The 17,206-nt window shown below is 44.0% G+C and overlaps 1 protein-coding gene across 5 annotated transcripts in view, besides 2 other annotated features; it reads right to left on the reverse strand.

Moving 5' to 3' along the window:
* The window catches only part of PTPN21 (protein tyrosine phosphatase non-receptor type 21), an 89,230-nt gene that overhangs the window by 16,193 nt on the left and 55,831 nt on the right, over positions 1-17,206 (reverse strand). For all 5 annotated transcript variants that reach the window (NM_007039.4, XM_005267287.4, XM_011536367.4 and 2 more), the window contains 4 exons: positions 15,233-15,320; positions 14,443-14,522; positions 3,812-3,872; positions 3,106-3,190 (listed from right to left, as the gene is read on the reverse strand). In NM_007039.4, coding sequence (NP_008970.2) covers positions 3,106-3,190; positions 3,812-3,872; positions 14,443-14,522; positions 15,233-15,320 — 314 coding nt within the window. The remainder of the gene's footprint in view (positions 1-3,105; positions 3,191-3,811; positions 3,873-14,442; positions 14,523-15,232; positions 15,321-17,206) is intronic.
* Positions 431-961: an enhancer, noted in NCBI's record as "NANOG hESC enhancer chr14:88948745-88949275 (GRCh37/hg19 assembly coordinates)". NCBI's record gives its function as "activates a minimal SCP1, AML or CMV promoter by ChIP-STARR-seq in primed H9 embryonic stem cells {active_cell/tissue: H9 hESC(primed)}" and the evidence as "EXISTENCE:reporter gene assay evidence [ECO:0000049][PMID:30033119]".
* Positions 10,473-10,662: an enhancer, noted in NCBI's record as "active region_8841". NCBI's record gives its function as "activates an Ori minimal core promoter by ATAC-STARR-seq in GM12878 lymphoblastoid cells {active_cell/tissue: GM12878}" and the evidence as "EXISTENCE:reporter gene assay evidence [ECO:0000049][PMID:35858748]".

Below are 17,206 nucleotides of genomic sequence, written 5' to 3' on the forward strand. Positions count from 1 at the left end.
CTCTCCAGCTCAAGCCCCTACGGCAGACTCAGACAGGGCAGAGCCCTCCTGCTAGTACAGTGTGCAACGGACAGGTGACCTTTATTATTACTTCCCTGAGAGTTTGGAATGGAGTATTTTGTCAGCACAGCATAGCCCTGCCTATCCGGTCTGCATGGCAGCATGTGAACGGAAGGGTGCATGGGGTAAGGGCACCTGAGGGTGCAGAGCGGCACTGGCAAAGCCAGGGTGCACCCCTGGGCAAGCTGGGGTGGCTAGAGTGTCAGATAGCTACAGAGGAGTAAAATAACTTGGGAAGTAAGGTTGGAAGGGCAGGCTCAGGGAATATTGTGTGGAGTCTCGAACACCAGGCAAAAGAATGATCCTGCACACAGCCGTGTGCAGTGGCTCACACCTGTAACACTAGCACTTTGGGAGGCCAAGGTGGGCAGATCACCCAAGGTCGGGAGTTTGAGACCAGCCTGACCAACACGGAGAGACCCCATCTCTACTAAAAATACAAAATTAGCTGGGCGTGGTGGCGCATGCCTGTAATCCCAGCTACTTGGGAGGCTGAGGCTTGAACCCAGGAGGCAGAGGTGGCAGTGAGCTAAAATCATGCCATTGCACTCTAGCCTGGACAACAAAAGCGAAACTCCATCTCAAAAGAAAAGAAAAGAAAAGAAAAGAAATGTTAAATGTAGATGAGATCCCTGGGAAGCTCACAGAGGGAGGGAAAAAGCCACAGGACAGACCTGCAGAGCTCACCAAACAATACTGATGGGAAGGAGGAGGGAAAAACCTAGCATGCCAGGAGAGTTTCCAGAAGGTACAAAGGCTTGAATGTGATGGTGAGGGGATGTGGGGGTGCTGGGAGGCTCCCAGAGGGCCGCTTTAACAGAGTGGCAAAGACAGAGGAGTGGGCGGGTAACCAGCAAGCAGAAGCAGCACACAGAGAGTACTCTTATAAGTCAGTGAGAAAGGGCTGGGCACAGTGGCTCACACCTGTAATCCCCACTTTGGAAGGCCAAGGCAGGCGGATTACGAGGTCAGGAGATCAAGACCATCCTGGCTAACACGGTGAAACCCCGTCTCTACTAAAAATACAAAAAATTAGCCGGGCGTGGTGGCGGGTGCCTGTAGTCCCAGCTACTCAGGAGGCTGAGGCAGGAGAATGGCGTGAACCCAGGAGGCAGGGCTTGCAGTGAGCCGAGATCGCGCCACTTCACTCCAGCCTGGGCAACAGAGTGAGACTCCGTCTCCAAAAAAAAAAAAAAAAAAGTCAGTGAGAAAAGAAAGCAGATCACTCAAACCATTACTTAAAGGGAGGAGAATGAACAATATTAAGATGTTTATAGACAGAGGGAAGAGAATGAGTGGCAAAGTGAGACTAACAATGCAGAGGACAGCCAGGTCCTGGAAGTGGGAGGGGCCGGGATTGCAAATACCAGACAAGGGCAGGGTGCAAGAGGGAGGAAATACAAGAACATGGTGAGGGGGATGCTCTCAGGCTCTACACCCAAAGCCCTGCTCTCTACTACCCACCTCACTGCATGAAAACCCTCATCTTTTACACCAGGGCCGACACAAACAATACAGTCACATCCCACCTTCTGGTCCCTTCATGCATCACTCCCTACCAGTTCCTTACCCGAGAGGAAACCTGGACCACTCTACTCTCCAAACACACCCTGCTTCATTCTGTGCCTGGCGTTCACTATCCCCAAAACTAGGAACAGCAACCCCAGTCAAGTTCCTGCCTTTCTACCTGCTGAAATCCACCCATCTTTTCAGATACAGAAAGTTCTTCTCAATCTCCCCAATGTGATGAGTCTCTCTTCCACTGAGGAGCATGGTAATTGCACATGCTGTCTCAGAAAAACTATCATATTCAAGTTATTTGTGCCAGGAGTGGTGGCTCAGGCCTATAATCCCAGCACTTAGAAAGGCAGAGGCAGGAGGATAGCTTGGGCCCAGGAGATTGAGACCACCCTGAGCAATATAGCAAGACCCCATTCTCCACGAAAAAGGGGTTCAGGGGAGAAAGACAAAGTTATTTGTGCACTTGTCTTATCTTAAACTATTAGATTCTAAGGTGTTTTTTTTTTTTTTGAGATAGTCTCCCTCTGTCATCCAGGCTGGAGTGCAGTAGCACAAAATCTTGGCTCACTGCAACCTCCACCCCCACCTTGGGCTTAAGCAATCCTCCTACCTCAGCCTCCTGAGTAGCTGGGACTGGAGGTGCATACCACTACGCCCAGCTATTTTTTTTTTTTTTTTTTGGTAGAGACAGGGTCTGGCCCTGTGGTCCAGGCTGAAGATAAACTTCTTAAGATGTGGAAATACTCATCTGCATAAACCTCCTTAGCATTTGGTATAGCCCCATACAGAGAGAGTATAGAGTAAATGTTAATTGACTGCTTAAACTTCAGCTTGGGGGTTTGTTATAAATACAATTCCTTATACTTCTCATGTGAAAACTGCAGTAGTCATGTGTTTAACTTTTACAATAGGAAAGCCTCTGGCAGGGAAAGAAAAGTAACCCTGGGAATTCTTTGTCAGATAGCAAAGAAGCACTTAAAGGCTAATAGGGTGGTGGTAAAAGGACACAGGAACCAGCTTGATAGTTTCCCATTGGCCAAATTTGAGACCAGTGGAGCATCAAAATTTGATACTGCATGTTTTTACATACATTCAAGAACCCAAATATACCTGGATCATCTGAGGTCAGGAGTTTGAGACCAGTCTGGCCAACATGGTGAAACCCCATGTCTACTAAAAAATACAAAAATTAGCCAGGCGTGGTGGCGTGCCTGTAGTCCCAGCTACTTGGGAAGCTGAGGCACAAGAATTGCTTGAATCTAGGAGGTGGATGTTGCAGTGAGCTGAGACACGCCACTGCACTCTAGCCTGGGTGACACATTGAGACTCTGTCTCCAAAAAAACAAACAAACAAACAAAAAACAATATATTGGCTTCTTTTATGAATCCAGGATAGCTATTATCATGATGCAATTTGGGGTGCAACTTCAGCCAAAAACTGTCCAGGCTTCATGATCTCCAAGCATTCACAGATTTATCCATAGTCATAACTATGTAAGGCATGGCAGAAACAGTGTACTTTACCTTGGGAAGAAGCATATGGTTCTGTATAATGTCCATTATAGTGCAACTGCGGTGGGGGAGGCATCACGTAGGGCTGGGGTTTAGGCTAAGAAATGGAGAGTTTGACACAGGGTTGAAACACATTGCTTATGTAATACAGGTAAAGTTATTATCCACTGGATTCTTTCTGTTAAAAAAACTTCTAAAGGAATTAAATATATTATATATGGAAAATAAACATGAAGACACAGTAGTTCTTAACATATCTAGCATTTCTGTTTCCCCAAATGGCAATGTCAAGCCCTATGACTGATACCAAGGACATTAGGCTCCACCAGAAAATCTGCATCTAAAAAGCTAAGAGCAAGAAGCAATAGATACACATTTCCTTGTAGAAACATTTCAACATAAGAAGCTTATAGGTATTATAGTCAATCTTATTAAAGGCATCTAGTATTTTAAATATATACCAACTTAGGATTACTCTTGGCCAATAGTCTAAGTTCTTAATATTAAGGTCAGACCTAATATTCAAATATGTATAATATAATAATATAAATATTAGGTTGGACCTATGGGAAAAAATTACCATTTCTTTGGTTAAAAATGATGAAATATCAATACACTTTTATGGTTCAAACTCAAAATTAACAGCATTGAAAGCATATTTTATTCAGGAAAAACATCACTAAAATAAAAAAGCAATCATATTTTCCTTGTTTCTTACCAGAGACATCCTTGAAGAAGACCTCCTCCTGATTGGGTTCACTGTGACAGTCTGAGTTTGCCTATAAAATAGGATGACTCTGAGAAGAGCACATACACACTCTCTCTTAAATTCTACCAAAACAAGATATAGGAATGTAAAATAATAAATCTTCTCAGGCAAAAAAAAAGACAAGCTATCTAAGTCATGAAGTCAAAGAAAAGAAGGGAGGTTCTCTGTCGGCCCGTGGGGCCTCAGCCCTTTCCTGCTGCCCCAACCCGTCAACCTGCCCTGTGGTTTCAGGCTCCCCACACAGCATCATCGCCTGGACCCACAAGGGGATCAGAGCATACTTCCCAGGCCCATCCAATAAACCTCTGGATTAGCCATAAGCAGTGGGGAAAGAGACAAGGCTACATCACCCACACACTTGTCGCAGGAGAAGCTGGATTCAGTGCAAATGCAAATGTGTTTCTCCTATGCGCTGGGGGAGCCCTGGGTCCCTCCACTAACCTTCCTCCCGGGGGACCATCCACTGTCAACCCAGAAGCCTCAAGCAGTAAGAACTGCCTTTAATTAAAAGTCTGTTAACCACAGACTACAAACATAATGAAGAAATGAATTTATGATTTTAGTGACAAGAATCTACATTTCCAAGTGCAGTAAGCATGCTCCTGTAGACCCGCCTCTTGGGAGCATCTTGGGCCCAGGAGTTCAAGACCAGCCTAGACAACATAGTGAGACCCCATCTTTTAAAAAACTCAAATATAAAAAAATTTCAAACCTACGTATTTTTTAAATCTACATTTCCTCTAAGGAACCAAGGGAAAGCAAAGCACAAGACTTGGTTCAGTGAGCCGATGGTAAACCCATTTACCTTTCTTTGCAAGAAATTTCTGATTTGTTTTGAATATACTTTTTAAAAAAACACCTAAGGCCAGGCGCAGTGGCTCACACCTGTAATCCCAAACTTTCAGAGGCCAAGGCGGGTGGATCACCTGAAGTCAGGAGTTCGAGACCACCTGGCCAACATGGTGAAACCTCATCTCTACTGAAAATACAAAAACTAGCTGGGCATGGTGGTGGGTGCCTATAATCCCAGCTACTCGGGAGTCTGAGGCAGGGGAGTCACTTGAACCCAGGAGGCAGAGGTTGCAGTGAGCCGAGATTGCGCCATTGCACTCCAGCCTGGGCAACAAGAGCGAGATTCTAGCCTCAAAAAAAAAAAAAAAAAAAAGTACCTAAACGTATTAGGGAGTGCTGACAAACACTAATGTGATAATGTGAGATTTTCAACTACTCACACAGCAAGTTCTATCTTTAAAAAAACAATAAGGTAAAAAAAGGAAACAGACACAGAAAAGCCCATTTGTAACTATTGTTTTCAAATAAAGGCAAGATTTTTTTTTCTTCTGTGTGGTCAGTTTTACTGCAAGATCTAGGAACCTAAACACACTGGATTCTTGGCTTTGTTGATGACATGTAGTTTTGTCAAAGCACTTTTTCTTATACCTTTTACCACCTATTCCTGGTTCATGTACTTATGTAACACATAATCACTGATTACAAAAATATTTTGTGACCTTTGGTTACAGTGTTCTAAGGACTAATTACTAGAAAATCCATCATGACAAAGTGAATATTCAATCCATTTAAGCAAATTTACCATAATATCAAGCCTCATGTCTCATAAATTAATATTACTCTTAGCACTCTGAAAACTAGTATCTTATATTCAAAAACCCTGAATATTAGCTTATTTTTATAAGACTCTTGAGATAAAAAGAAAACTAGTACATACTAGTTTTAACATCAGGTGATTACAACTGCTTTTACTAGCTTTTATAAATAATTTCATTTCTTTGTTACTGGAAAGTATTCAGGCTGTTAATGAAAAATAAATGTCTCTTTTCCAAAAGATATTCCATTCTTCCAGTATTTATTTTGGTGACACAAGTCTGCATGGCGTGTCTGGGTTTTAAAAAATAAAAAATAAAAAATAAAAAATACTCCTTAACTGCACATTAATATATTCCTTAAAATTAGTGCCCACAAATTAGCCAGGCGCGGTGGCAGGCGCCTGTAATCCCAGCTACTCAGGACGCTGAGGCAGGAGAATCGCTTGAGCCAAGGGGGCGGAGGTTGCAGTGAGCCGAGATCACGCCACTGCACTCCAGCCTGGGCGACAGAGTGAGACTCCATCTCAAAAAAAAAAAAAAAAAAAATAGTGCCCAGAATTTGAAGACGCTGCATTTTTGCAGCCTTGAAATTTACTTTGTCTCTGGTTATTCTTCATTGTCAGGACTAGGTTTAGGCAAACTGGGTCCTCTGAACCCTGTGTTCAGTCTAGCAGAGACTCACTGTCTAGATGGACTGAACTTAAGAAACTTTTAAAGTACTACAAATTCACAAGGATTGCCAACAGAATTCTCTGTCAACAAACTCCAACAACATGTCTACAGTTGCCCAGCCTGGGGCAAAAATAAAACACAAAACCCAAGGATGCAGAGCTTCAGCACATGGGCGGCCCTCCCACACTGAGAGCTTATCTTGGCGCTCTTGCCGCAGCACCCAGTGTGGAGGCGAACACTGCCCACTGTAGTAGCCGGCTCTACTAAGAAAACAAACTACAAAAGCGTGTACCTGCCAAAGTGCTTGACCCAGGCAGCCACGCCATCAGTTCTAATAGTCTAACCTTCTCTTTCTTCTTGGCATTGTTCTTATAAATGCAGTTTACTCTGAGACCAGCTATCCTCAGCTTGGCATACAAGAGAAAACCATGTAACTGTTGGCTGTGGTTTCCAAACTTTTTGGGCAGTTACTATGTTGATGGGTGCTGCTAAATAACTGAGAAGAAATCACTAGAATCTGTGTGCCAAAGAAGACAAAATAAAAATTAAAAAGGCTGAGCCAGGCGTGGTGGCACATGCCCGTGTAGTGCCAGCGACTTGGAAGGCTGAGGCAGGAGGATCCCTTGAATCCAGGAGTTCATGGCTGTAGTGCACTACGATCCCATCTGCGAATTCCCACCATATTCTACCTGGGAAACTGGGATACTAGGACCTGGTGTCTTTAAAAAAAAGAAAAAAGTCTACCAGCCCAAGTAAAATCAATATTATTTATTGAAACTGTGCTAAGGACTGTACATGATTATCTCGTGGAATGTGAACACCAAACCCATAAGGGAGGTCCAGTTATTATCCTGATTTTACAGATAAGGAAAGTGATACGTAAGTTCAGTAAGTTGCTCCTGGTCACATGGCAAACAAGTAGTAGAACCGGCATTTGAACCAGCAGGTCTGTCAGATTCCTGAGTGTATGTGTCTAACAATCATGTGTCCAACCTGCTCCCCAACCCCAACTAATCTGTAAGCTCCGTGGAGGCAAGATGTGGTATCCCTGGTGCCTTTGCTGAGCAAATGAGTGACTAACAAGTGAGGACTAAAGTGATGCTTATTACTAAGCATTTACAGCTGAGCTTGTATTTCTAAGCCTCGTCTGAATTTTGCTTTGTAAGTTTCCTTTCTTATACGATGTAAGGGAGTTAAGATTTTGATAAACAAAAAGATGCCATTGAAAGCTCATGCACTAATAGATAGTTCAAGGAATAGATTCCTTCCTGTAATCCCAGGTACTTAGGAGGCTGAGATGTGAGGATCACTTGAGGCCAGGGGTTTAAGACCAGCCTGGGCAACACAGCAAGACCCCATCTCTAAAAAACTAAAAAAAAAAATTAGCCAGGCATGGTGGCACACGCTTATAATCCTGGCTACTTCAGAAGCTGAGGGCTGAGGCCAGTGGATCCCTTAAGCCCGGGAGTCTGAGGTTACAGTGAGCTATGATCACACCACCACACTCCAGCCTGGAAGACAGAGCAAGACCCCGTCTCTTTAAAAAAATAAATAAATAAAAGTGTTAGATGGTGGAAATACCTAGCAAATGTTTGTCTCAATGACTTACACCTTTTGAGCTCACTATAGTAAGGGTAAGGAAGAATAAATGCTCTCCTCCCAGCCTACACTTGGGTAGACCAGGGCTGCATCCAAGCTGCTTACAGGTCACTGACTTGGCTCTGGGATGCCTGCTTCCACTGTTCACCCCCCTACCAAACCCCGCCTTAGGTGTAGCTTCCTGGCATTGTGGGATGGGAGAGGAACAAAGCCAGCAGAGACCATCTCAGGTAACTGGGAAGGAATACTGATGGAGGGAGAGGCCCTAGTGTCACTCCAGCCCCATGAAATGTGTGGTTTTCTTTTTTTTTTTTTGGAGATGGAGTCTTGCTCTGTCGCCCAGGCTGAAATGCAGTGGTGCGATCCTGGCTCACTGCAACCTCCACCTCCCAGGCTCAAGGGATTCTCCTGCCTCAGCCTTCCGAGCAGCTGGGATTATAGGCGCCCGCCACCACGCCAGGCTAAGTTTTGCATTTTTAGTAGAGACGGGGTTTCACCTTGTTGGCCAGGCTAGTCTTGAACTCCTGGCCTCAGATAATCCACCTGCTTCAGCCTCTCAAAGTGCTGGGATTACAGGCATGAGCCACCGTGACCGGCCGACATGTGTGGTTTTCCAGGGTGACACTGACCTTTATCCATATAAGAACCTACTCAGAAAAAGCCGCTGCCTCTCCTCGGCTCCACCAGGGGTCCATGTCCCCATACCCAGAGGTCCCACTGTTTGGCCTTGTGGCTGCTCCTCCTCTCCCCTCCCACCTCTTCCTGCCCTGCTCCTTCACATGGATCCATGGGAACTACTGGGTCCTCTCTACACTTCTGGGGCTCAGGGGACTGGAATGGGATAGGGGCTGCTCCATCTTCTTCCAGACTTCCTATAGTCTCTTCAAGCCCTGCAGTAGGCCAAGAAGATGGGTAAACTCTTTCCCTTTCCAGGCAGGGCCTACTCTAGTCAGTCTCCTGATTACAAAAGTCTCCGGAACCAAGGTGGACACCGGCTGCTATGTTCACCAACACCCCTGAGCTGCAGGGAGCACTCACCAGCCATCTCACTGCGCTCAGCGAGTGGCCTGCTGCAGTCTGAAATACAAGTTTCCCTTCTGGAGAAAGTCTCTTGAACCCTCTATCACTTGGCTTTGCAGGTTGAAGGATACCATCCTCCCTTTTCCTCACAGAAAAGAGCAGGGGAGCCACCTACACCAAGGGGCCTCTCATGACTCCCCAACTCTCTCGGCATTTTCCTTATATAAATCAGGGAGGGTGCTTACAGCATGACCAGTTCTGGGGCTTAGAGTGAGAGACAGTGGGTTTGAAGCAGATTTCTGATCTAACAGGTTGACATTATTATGTCATTTAATTCCCAATTCAACCATAAAGGAATATTAAGTATAAAAGTCTCAATATCCTCACTTTATAATTTTAAAAGACAGATTGTTATCCATCTAACATTTTTAAGGTTTGGATAACGATCATTCTGTTATCTAATGCACTTTGTTAGGGGGTGGAGGGAGAAGGCTGTTGGATTATGCCATTGTATAAATACTAAAATATAGTTATCTGGGTCAAGATTAGATGAGTCACATAAGGCCATCCCAAGCAGCAATAAACTACAATAGATCAGGACTGGGGGTAAAGGGGACACCCTGGGATTACAGTTCCCCTTTCTGTGCAAGTCGAGTCTATCTCCTGGGCCACCAGTCACCCCAGCCCAAAGCAGATGTCCAGAAGCCACCGTCCAGTTCCAGGCCAGGGGCAGTTTTGTTAAATGCCTATCACGCTTTAGTTTACCCATCTGGCCCATGACAACAAGTCTACCAATACTTCAGAATCATAATATTGGAACATGACTAAACAGTCTATATTGAGAGCCTTTAAAACATGGCCATAACAATTAAAGTTCTTTTCATTTTATTATCAAGCAAAATTTTAAAAGCTAATATTAAAAGCTTCATTTACTTTATGTGGGAAACAAACGCTCACAATGAAATATATTAGTTCCCTACAGAATGAATCATAAGTAATTACATAGGAATAGCTCATGGAAATCGACTGCCACAATCTATTGGATATATAGAGATTGAAAGCAAACTTTGGAAAACAGCCCTTTAAACATAACTATTCCATTTTAAAAAGATTCAGGTGTTCCTTATTTAGGTATAGCATATGCAACTGATGACATTAATGTAGTTTTGTTCACACTTGCCAATAAATAGCAATATTCCAAAAACTAGAGCTGAATTTCTAAGACTCATTCACCATAATCAATCATTTGTTGCTTTTCCCTCTTCCCTCTTTTACTTATTACAAGTTGTTAATTTGCAAAAAAAAAAACACAAAACAAAACAAACAAACAAACAAAAAACAGGCACTAACCACCAACCAATATGGATGCCTCATGGAAAGGGATTATGTTTTATGGTTTATTCAAAATGTAGACTCTCCACTATTTTCCAGAGAAGAAACAAACTGAGGTAATAATGGCTCAATATTATGAACACTCTTAACTTATTAAAGTCTTTAAAATGAAAATGCTGTGGTCCAACAGACTGCATTATCTACTGCTTGAATCTTAGAACTTACTTCTGCATAGAAATCATGCCACATATGGCTGGATAACCAGGCCAGCCCCAGGGAACCCCAAAGGCAAGTAGCACTACTGAATATCACCACCAGGGGGAACACTTTCATATGCAAATACACCCAGGCCCCTAGCAGAAACCGCTTCCCATATTTACAAAGAAAGCAGGTTCCTCCTCCCTGTCAGTGCTTACGAAAATCCCATCACCAGACCAGCGATGGGGACTCGGATGCAAACATGGTGCAGGGGAAGGCAGAGAAGAGACAGGGACTGGGCCATACATGCAAACCACTGGCCAGCTCCCCGTCCGGGTGGGCATCCCCGCATGTTATCTTTACACTGCTGCTCCTGCCCAGAGTTTCTCTCACACCCTGCAAGACAGAAGGCACTTCCACAGCCTTTCTCCTTCCTTCCTGGTGCTAAGGGACAAAATGCCCTTGTTAGACTTTGCCTCCACCCCATGCCTCATTTACAATCTGTAATAAAAGGAAGAGACAAAGGAGCAAAAGTGCTCTTCTCCCCTGTGACTCCCATCACTGCCACACTCCGGCTCCCATTGTTCACTAAGCCCTTATGCACCGGGCACCTTGCCAGACAGGGGACACGAAGATGAGGAAGAGGAGACCCTGCCCTCATGGAGCTTCATCAAACAAGAGAGACAGATCAAATGAAAATGATCTGTCAGTTGATATCTGTCAATATGAAAAAAGCAGGCAGGAACTACTCTAACAGGCTAGCACAGCGGCTAAGAGCACAGGCTCGAGTCTTGCTGCTCCACTTACTAGTTGTGTGGCAGGGCAAGACATTTCACTTCTGTAAGTCTCCATACCTTCATCAATAATGGGATAGTAATAATTGTGCCCAACAGGGTTACTGTAAGGATTAAAGAAAATAAAAGCTCTCAGTATAATGCTTGACACAGAGCAAGCATTTACTAAATTATTGTTATGAATTATTCAGGTCATTGTTATAAAAGAGGTAGAAAAAACAACTTTCAGAGTGGTGTCAAGGACTAAGCAAACTGAATGTTTGGTGGTGTCTATGGGGGCTGTATTTTAAACTCAATCTTGAAGAATGACTAAGAGTCTGTCAGAGAAGGGAAGGAAGGGCATTTTAGCAAAGGCCTGGGCTGGGGGCATTCACATGATAAGGAAAGATGCCTTCCTGGAGTCAGACTCCAAGGCCAACTGGGCTGGGGCAGCTAAGTCCAGAGAAGGACCTCAGGAGTCTGCCCTTAATCCTGTACCCAGGACGGGGCGGGTGAGAGGCACATGCTCAGATTTGTTCCTGACATGTAACTTCAAGAGCAGTGCTACATATTTTGCTTATCTATCCAGAAGACTGACTGCATACAGATGAGATAGGGCGTGGGGGGCCAAGTGGGAGGGAGCTCCAGGAGGTGCCTCCAGACATGGACCAGGGACAAGAGGACAGCTTAAAGAAAGGTTGTGGGAATTGAGTGCAACATTTCGGGTCTCAGCTTAGATGTCACTTGGCTGGGTAGCCTTTCCTATCTTGGCAGTTCTGGGTGACGTACCATTTTCCTAAGGGATCTTACAGCACCAAGACATCTTGAATCAGAGCTCTTAACACCTGTATCTATAGATTAGCTGAACAAATTCATTAAGGCCGACAGTGAGCCAGGCCCTTGCTTGGCATGGGGAATATAGCACTGAAGGCAGGGAAGAGTGTCTGTCCTCAAGCACTGCTCTAGAGCTAACCTGCTGGCAGGGGATACAGGCAAACAAACAAACAAACAAATATAGAAATTCACATGGTGCTAAGTGCTATAAAGAACAAAACAAAGTTAGAGGGTAAAGAGACAGATCATAGTGGAAGGGGGGTACCATAGGACAATCAGGGACAGCCTCTGAAGAGGGTCATATCTGACCAGACAGCAGGCTGCAATGAGGGAGCAAGGCAGGTGGAGACCTGGGAAAAGAGCAAGGACAGCATCCCCTAGGGTGAGGCACATCTGCAGCCTAGCCAGGATACCACTGTGGCTGGAACAGAGCAAGCAGGGAGGAGGATAAAAGACATAAGGTTGAAACCAGGCAAGGACCACACTGTGTATGGCCTCGTACTTTTATTAGAAGTAAAATGGGGCCAGGCCTGGTGGCTCACACCTGTCCAGCCCTTTGAGAGGCCGGGGCAGGAGGATTCCTAAAGTCCAGAAGTTTGAGACCGGTGTGGGTAACATAAGGAGATCCTGCCTCTATAAAAAACACCAAAAAATTAACCAGGTACACACCTGTGGTACCAGCTACTCAGGAGGCTGAGGTGGGAGGATCACCTGAGCCCAGGGAGGTTGAGAGGCTGCTGTGAGCCATGATCATGCCACTGTACTCAGCCTGGGTGACAGAGCTGTCTCAAAAACAAACTAAAAAAATTACTTAAAAAAAGAAGTGGAATGCCAAAGGAGGGTTAAGAAGAGTGAAAGGATCTGGGCAGGGTGCGGTGGCTCACACCTGTAATCCCAGCACTTTGGGAGGCTGAGGCAGGTGGATCACGAGGTCAGGAGATCAAGACCATCCTGGCCAACATGGTGAAACCCCATCTCTACTAAAAATACAAAAAATTAGCTGGGCGTGGTGGCATGTGCCTGTAGTCCCAGCTACTCAAGAGGCTGAGGCAGGAGAATCACTTGAACCCGGGAGGCGGAGGTTGCAGTGAGCCAAGATCGTGCCACTGCACTCCAGCCTGGGTGACAGAGCGAGACTCTGTCTCCAAAAAAAAAAAAAAAAAAAAAAAAAAGAAGAGTGTCAGTGTCAGGATCTGATTCAGGTTAAACTAAGATCATTCTGGCTGACATATGGAAAATAAGCTACAGGCAGCGAAGGCACAGAAACAGGAAAGTCAGAAGGCTACCTCAGTATTCTGATGAGAAGTAGTGGCAGCCAGCACTAAGCTGTTAACACGAGTGGTAAAAATGGTCAGGTTTCATACCACATCCAATTCATCAGCAAGTTCTGCCAGCTCTACCTTCAGAATATACAGGCAGTAGTATATATTCACCACAACTTTCAGAGTGGTATTGAGGACTAAGCACACTAAATGCTTGCGGTAGGATGCAGGAGTCAAGAGCTCAAGGAGGGCCGGGCACGGTGGCTCACGCCTGTAATCCCAGCACTTTGGGAGGCCAAGGCAGGCAGATCACCTGAGGTTGGAAGTTCAAGACCAGCCTGAACAACATGGAGAAACCCTGTCTCTACTAAAAATACAAAATTAGTGGGGTGTGGTGGCGCATGCCTGTAATCCCAGCTACTCGGGAGGCTGAGGCAGGAGAATCACTTGAACCGGGGGCTCAGGGGGAGGACAGGTCAGGAGAAGCCCCCTAGACGAAAGGATTTGGAGAAAAGGCCTCAGGACCAAACCAGCAAAGGTGACTGAGAAGAAACAGCCTAGAAAGAGGAAGCCGAGCAGGGGGTGGTGTCCTGGCAGCCGAAGAAGAGCAGGATTCCAGAAGGATGGAAGGAGCTGTCGGAGGATCAGTACTGCGGAGCGGTCAAGTGAGAGAACTCATGAAATGATCACTGGACGAAAGTCACCTGACCACAACAAGCAGCATCAGTAACGTGGAGGCTTAGGGAAAATGGGATGGAAGGAAGGAAACATACAAGCATACACAACTCTCTTGAGGAAACCTGCTATTCAGGAAAGCAGAGATATGGTGCAGAGGCTGGAGGGGAGTATAGATGAAGGACAATATTTTATATGTGCAATATCACCGTGTGCTTTATTGATCTGGCAAACAGTAAGAAACCCATGTGGGCTAAGAAAAATGCACACCAGGAAGGAGGGGCAAAAATTCTTCAGATAGCTGGAAAAGCTGAATAATCTTTAATGACTCAAAATGCTTACCAGAGGATTGATTTAAACAAATAAAGGATATTATTCCCTTTTTACCTTTCAAGAATTACAATGGTTCTTGTAACTAGTTGAAATAAATCTTAGAGGCATACAATGTAGTTATTACAAGTTGGTCCAAAGCTAAAATAGGAAAACAGCTATAGGATCAAGAAAAGATGTCAACTGATAAAATGTCTTTCTTGATGATACAGTATACTCAAGATTACAATTTCTAAATTCATTATTTTTGATAATTTCCATGAGCAGGACATACTTACAGGTTACACTGGTTTAGTCTGTAAAACTTGTGTCGCGCAACACAGAGTCTCCAAATGTATTTTGCTGTTTCCATGTCTTCCTAGCAAACAAAATAGGCATAAAGCAATATGAAAGCACACATACAACTTGATACGTTTAATGCAGAGTTTGTCTAAAGACATAATGGGTGACATCATATGACAAAGTCACTTTCAGAACACTATAAGCCTTTCATTTTCCAACACTGTGCCCATGGTATGAATACCACAAGTAGGATTTAATTTATGAAGACAAAACAATCTGTTCTAACAGTGTGATTCTCATATTAAACAGTTTCAAAATGACTTGGGAATCTAAAAACTATAAAAATACCAACTTTTATTCTTGCCAAATATACTCAAAGACATTTTTAAACAAAAATATGACTCAGTAACTCAATATTGCCTTTGTCAAGAGAGCAAAAGCAAGTAACTGTTAAATAACATTTCTTCAGAGCTATTCATTTATCAATGAAATTTAAGATATCAGTGCTTACTTTCTCCCCCACATAATCCCTGAAGTTTAATTTAAAGGTTATCATGATCAGACAGTAGTTATCCAAAGACTCATTCACTCAGCATTTACTGAGCAGCCATTTTTTGCTAACTGCCATTTTGCAAAATGCTATATGATAAAACTGCATGTTTTATACAATTACAAAATATTATCATTTTAATGCTGCCCTGCCTCCAAACACATACAGGCACGCAGAAGTAGAACTTGTTAACTTTTAGGAAAAACATTCCATGCAGACCCCTAATGTTTACTCACAGTTTGAAATTGAATGGTCTCCTCTTTATTTGCCAGCTCTAATGCAAAAAAGGACTTGTTGTGGGACATGTTGGCAATGTCATGCCACCTAAAGAACAGCAAATAGAGAACTGGCAATGTGAGTGCCCATGGGGGAAACAAGGAGATAGAATACACAAGTTTTCCCTAAGCCTGACGTGTAAGTTAGCATTTGGTAACATTTTTGAGAAAAACAAAAAACAAAAAACACGAGACCAGCCTGGCCAACATGGTGAAACCCTGTCTCTATTAAAAATACAAAAACTAGCCCAGGCGCAGTGGCTCACGCCTGTAATCTCAGCACTTTGGGAGGCCAAGGTGGGTGGATCACGAGGTCAGGAGATGGAGACCATCCTGGCTAACATGGTGAAACCCCGTCTCTACTAAAAATACAAAAAAAAAGAAAAAACTCGCCAGGCGTGGTAGCAGGTACCTGTAGGCCCAGCTACTCGGGAGGCTGAGGCGGGAGAATGGTGTGAACCCGGGAGGCAGAGCTTGCAGTGAGCCGAGATCGCACCACTGCACTCCAACCTGGGCGACAGAGTGAGACACTGCCTCAAACAAACAAACAAAGAAACAAATAAAAAACAAAAACTAGGTCAGGCATGGTGGCTCACGCCTGCAATCCGAGCACTTTGGGAGGCCGAGGCAGGTGGATCACCTGAGGTCACGAGTTTCAGACTCCTGGCCAACATGGTGAAACCCTGTCTCTACTAAGAATACAAAAAAAATTAGCTGGGCATGGTGGTGGGCACCTGCAATCCCAGCTACTTGGGAGGCTGAGGCAGGAGAATCGCTTGAACCCAGGAGGCGGAGGTTGCAGTGAGCTGAGACAGCACCATTGCACTCCAGCGTGGGCAACAAAAATGAAACTCTGTCTAAAAAAAAAAAAAAAATTACAAAAACTAGGCCAGGCGAGGTGGCAGGCACCTGTAATCCCAGCTACTTGGGAGGCTGAGGCAGAAGAATTGTCTGAACCTGGGAGGCAGAAGTTGCAGTGAACCAAGATTGTGCCACTGCATGCCAGTCTGGGCAACAGAACGAGACTCTGTCTCAAAAAAAACCAAAACAGAAAAAAGAAAAAAAAAAACAGTGGTTTTAATCAGCTAGCATGAATGTTCTAATTGAAGTAACAGCAGCTAGTTCAAAAAGTAAACTCATGTATAATAAATGAGGGAAAAGAGAATTTAAAAGATGTAAAATGTATCATTCTCATGTGTCAGATTTGCTTGATGGAAGATCCCTCTCTTAGCTGATTGCCAATGCCCCATTTATTCATTCAACAAAATAAAAGACACCTATTATAACAATGCCAGAAATTGCAGTAGGTCCTAGGGACACTAAGATTAGTGAGTTACAGTGCTTCCCTCAAATTCGCACAGTTGGAGGGGAAAGGTGGGAGAAAGAACACAGAAGCAAACAAGAACTTTTAAGTGCTGCAGGTATTAAAATAAGGCACAAAAGTGGGGGAGGTGTGCTCTGAAAAGCTTCAGGGTGAAGATAAATTTGAAATGCCAGGAACTCAAAGAGTGAACTATTCTGGAAGTGATCACTAGGATTCAAAATCTTATACTTTCTAATTTTATCGTATTAGCTTTTATATGTTAATATTTGATTTTATTAATCACAGAATTTTATAAAAAGAAAAAATTATGGAAGAAAAAATTTTATCCTTCTCCATTAGATTTATTTATTTTAAATGTATTAAAATAAAATCAACTTAGTACGGATTCCGTTGTTTGTTAAATCTAAAGATTATTAGCATCACATTAAGGCAACTGTGAAAATTCCTATCCAGTGATAAAGGAAGCCAGGTAGAAGCCTCAAGTTTCCATGTGACACTTTGGGCACCATCAGAGCCCTGCTCTTCAGGTGAAGCCACGGATCCATTTTCCTCTCCTCTCCCTGACCCCCAACTCAGCATGTTGGGAAGGGTTAATATAAGTGGCTTGGGGA

The sequence above is a fragment of the Homo sapiens genome, chromosome 14 (genome assembly GCF_000001405.40).
Source record: "Homo sapiens chromosome 14, GRCh38.p14 Primary Assembly".
Taxonomy (NCBI): domain Eukaryota; kingdom Metazoa; phylum Chordata; class Mammalia; order Primates; family Hominidae; genus Homo; species Homo sapiens.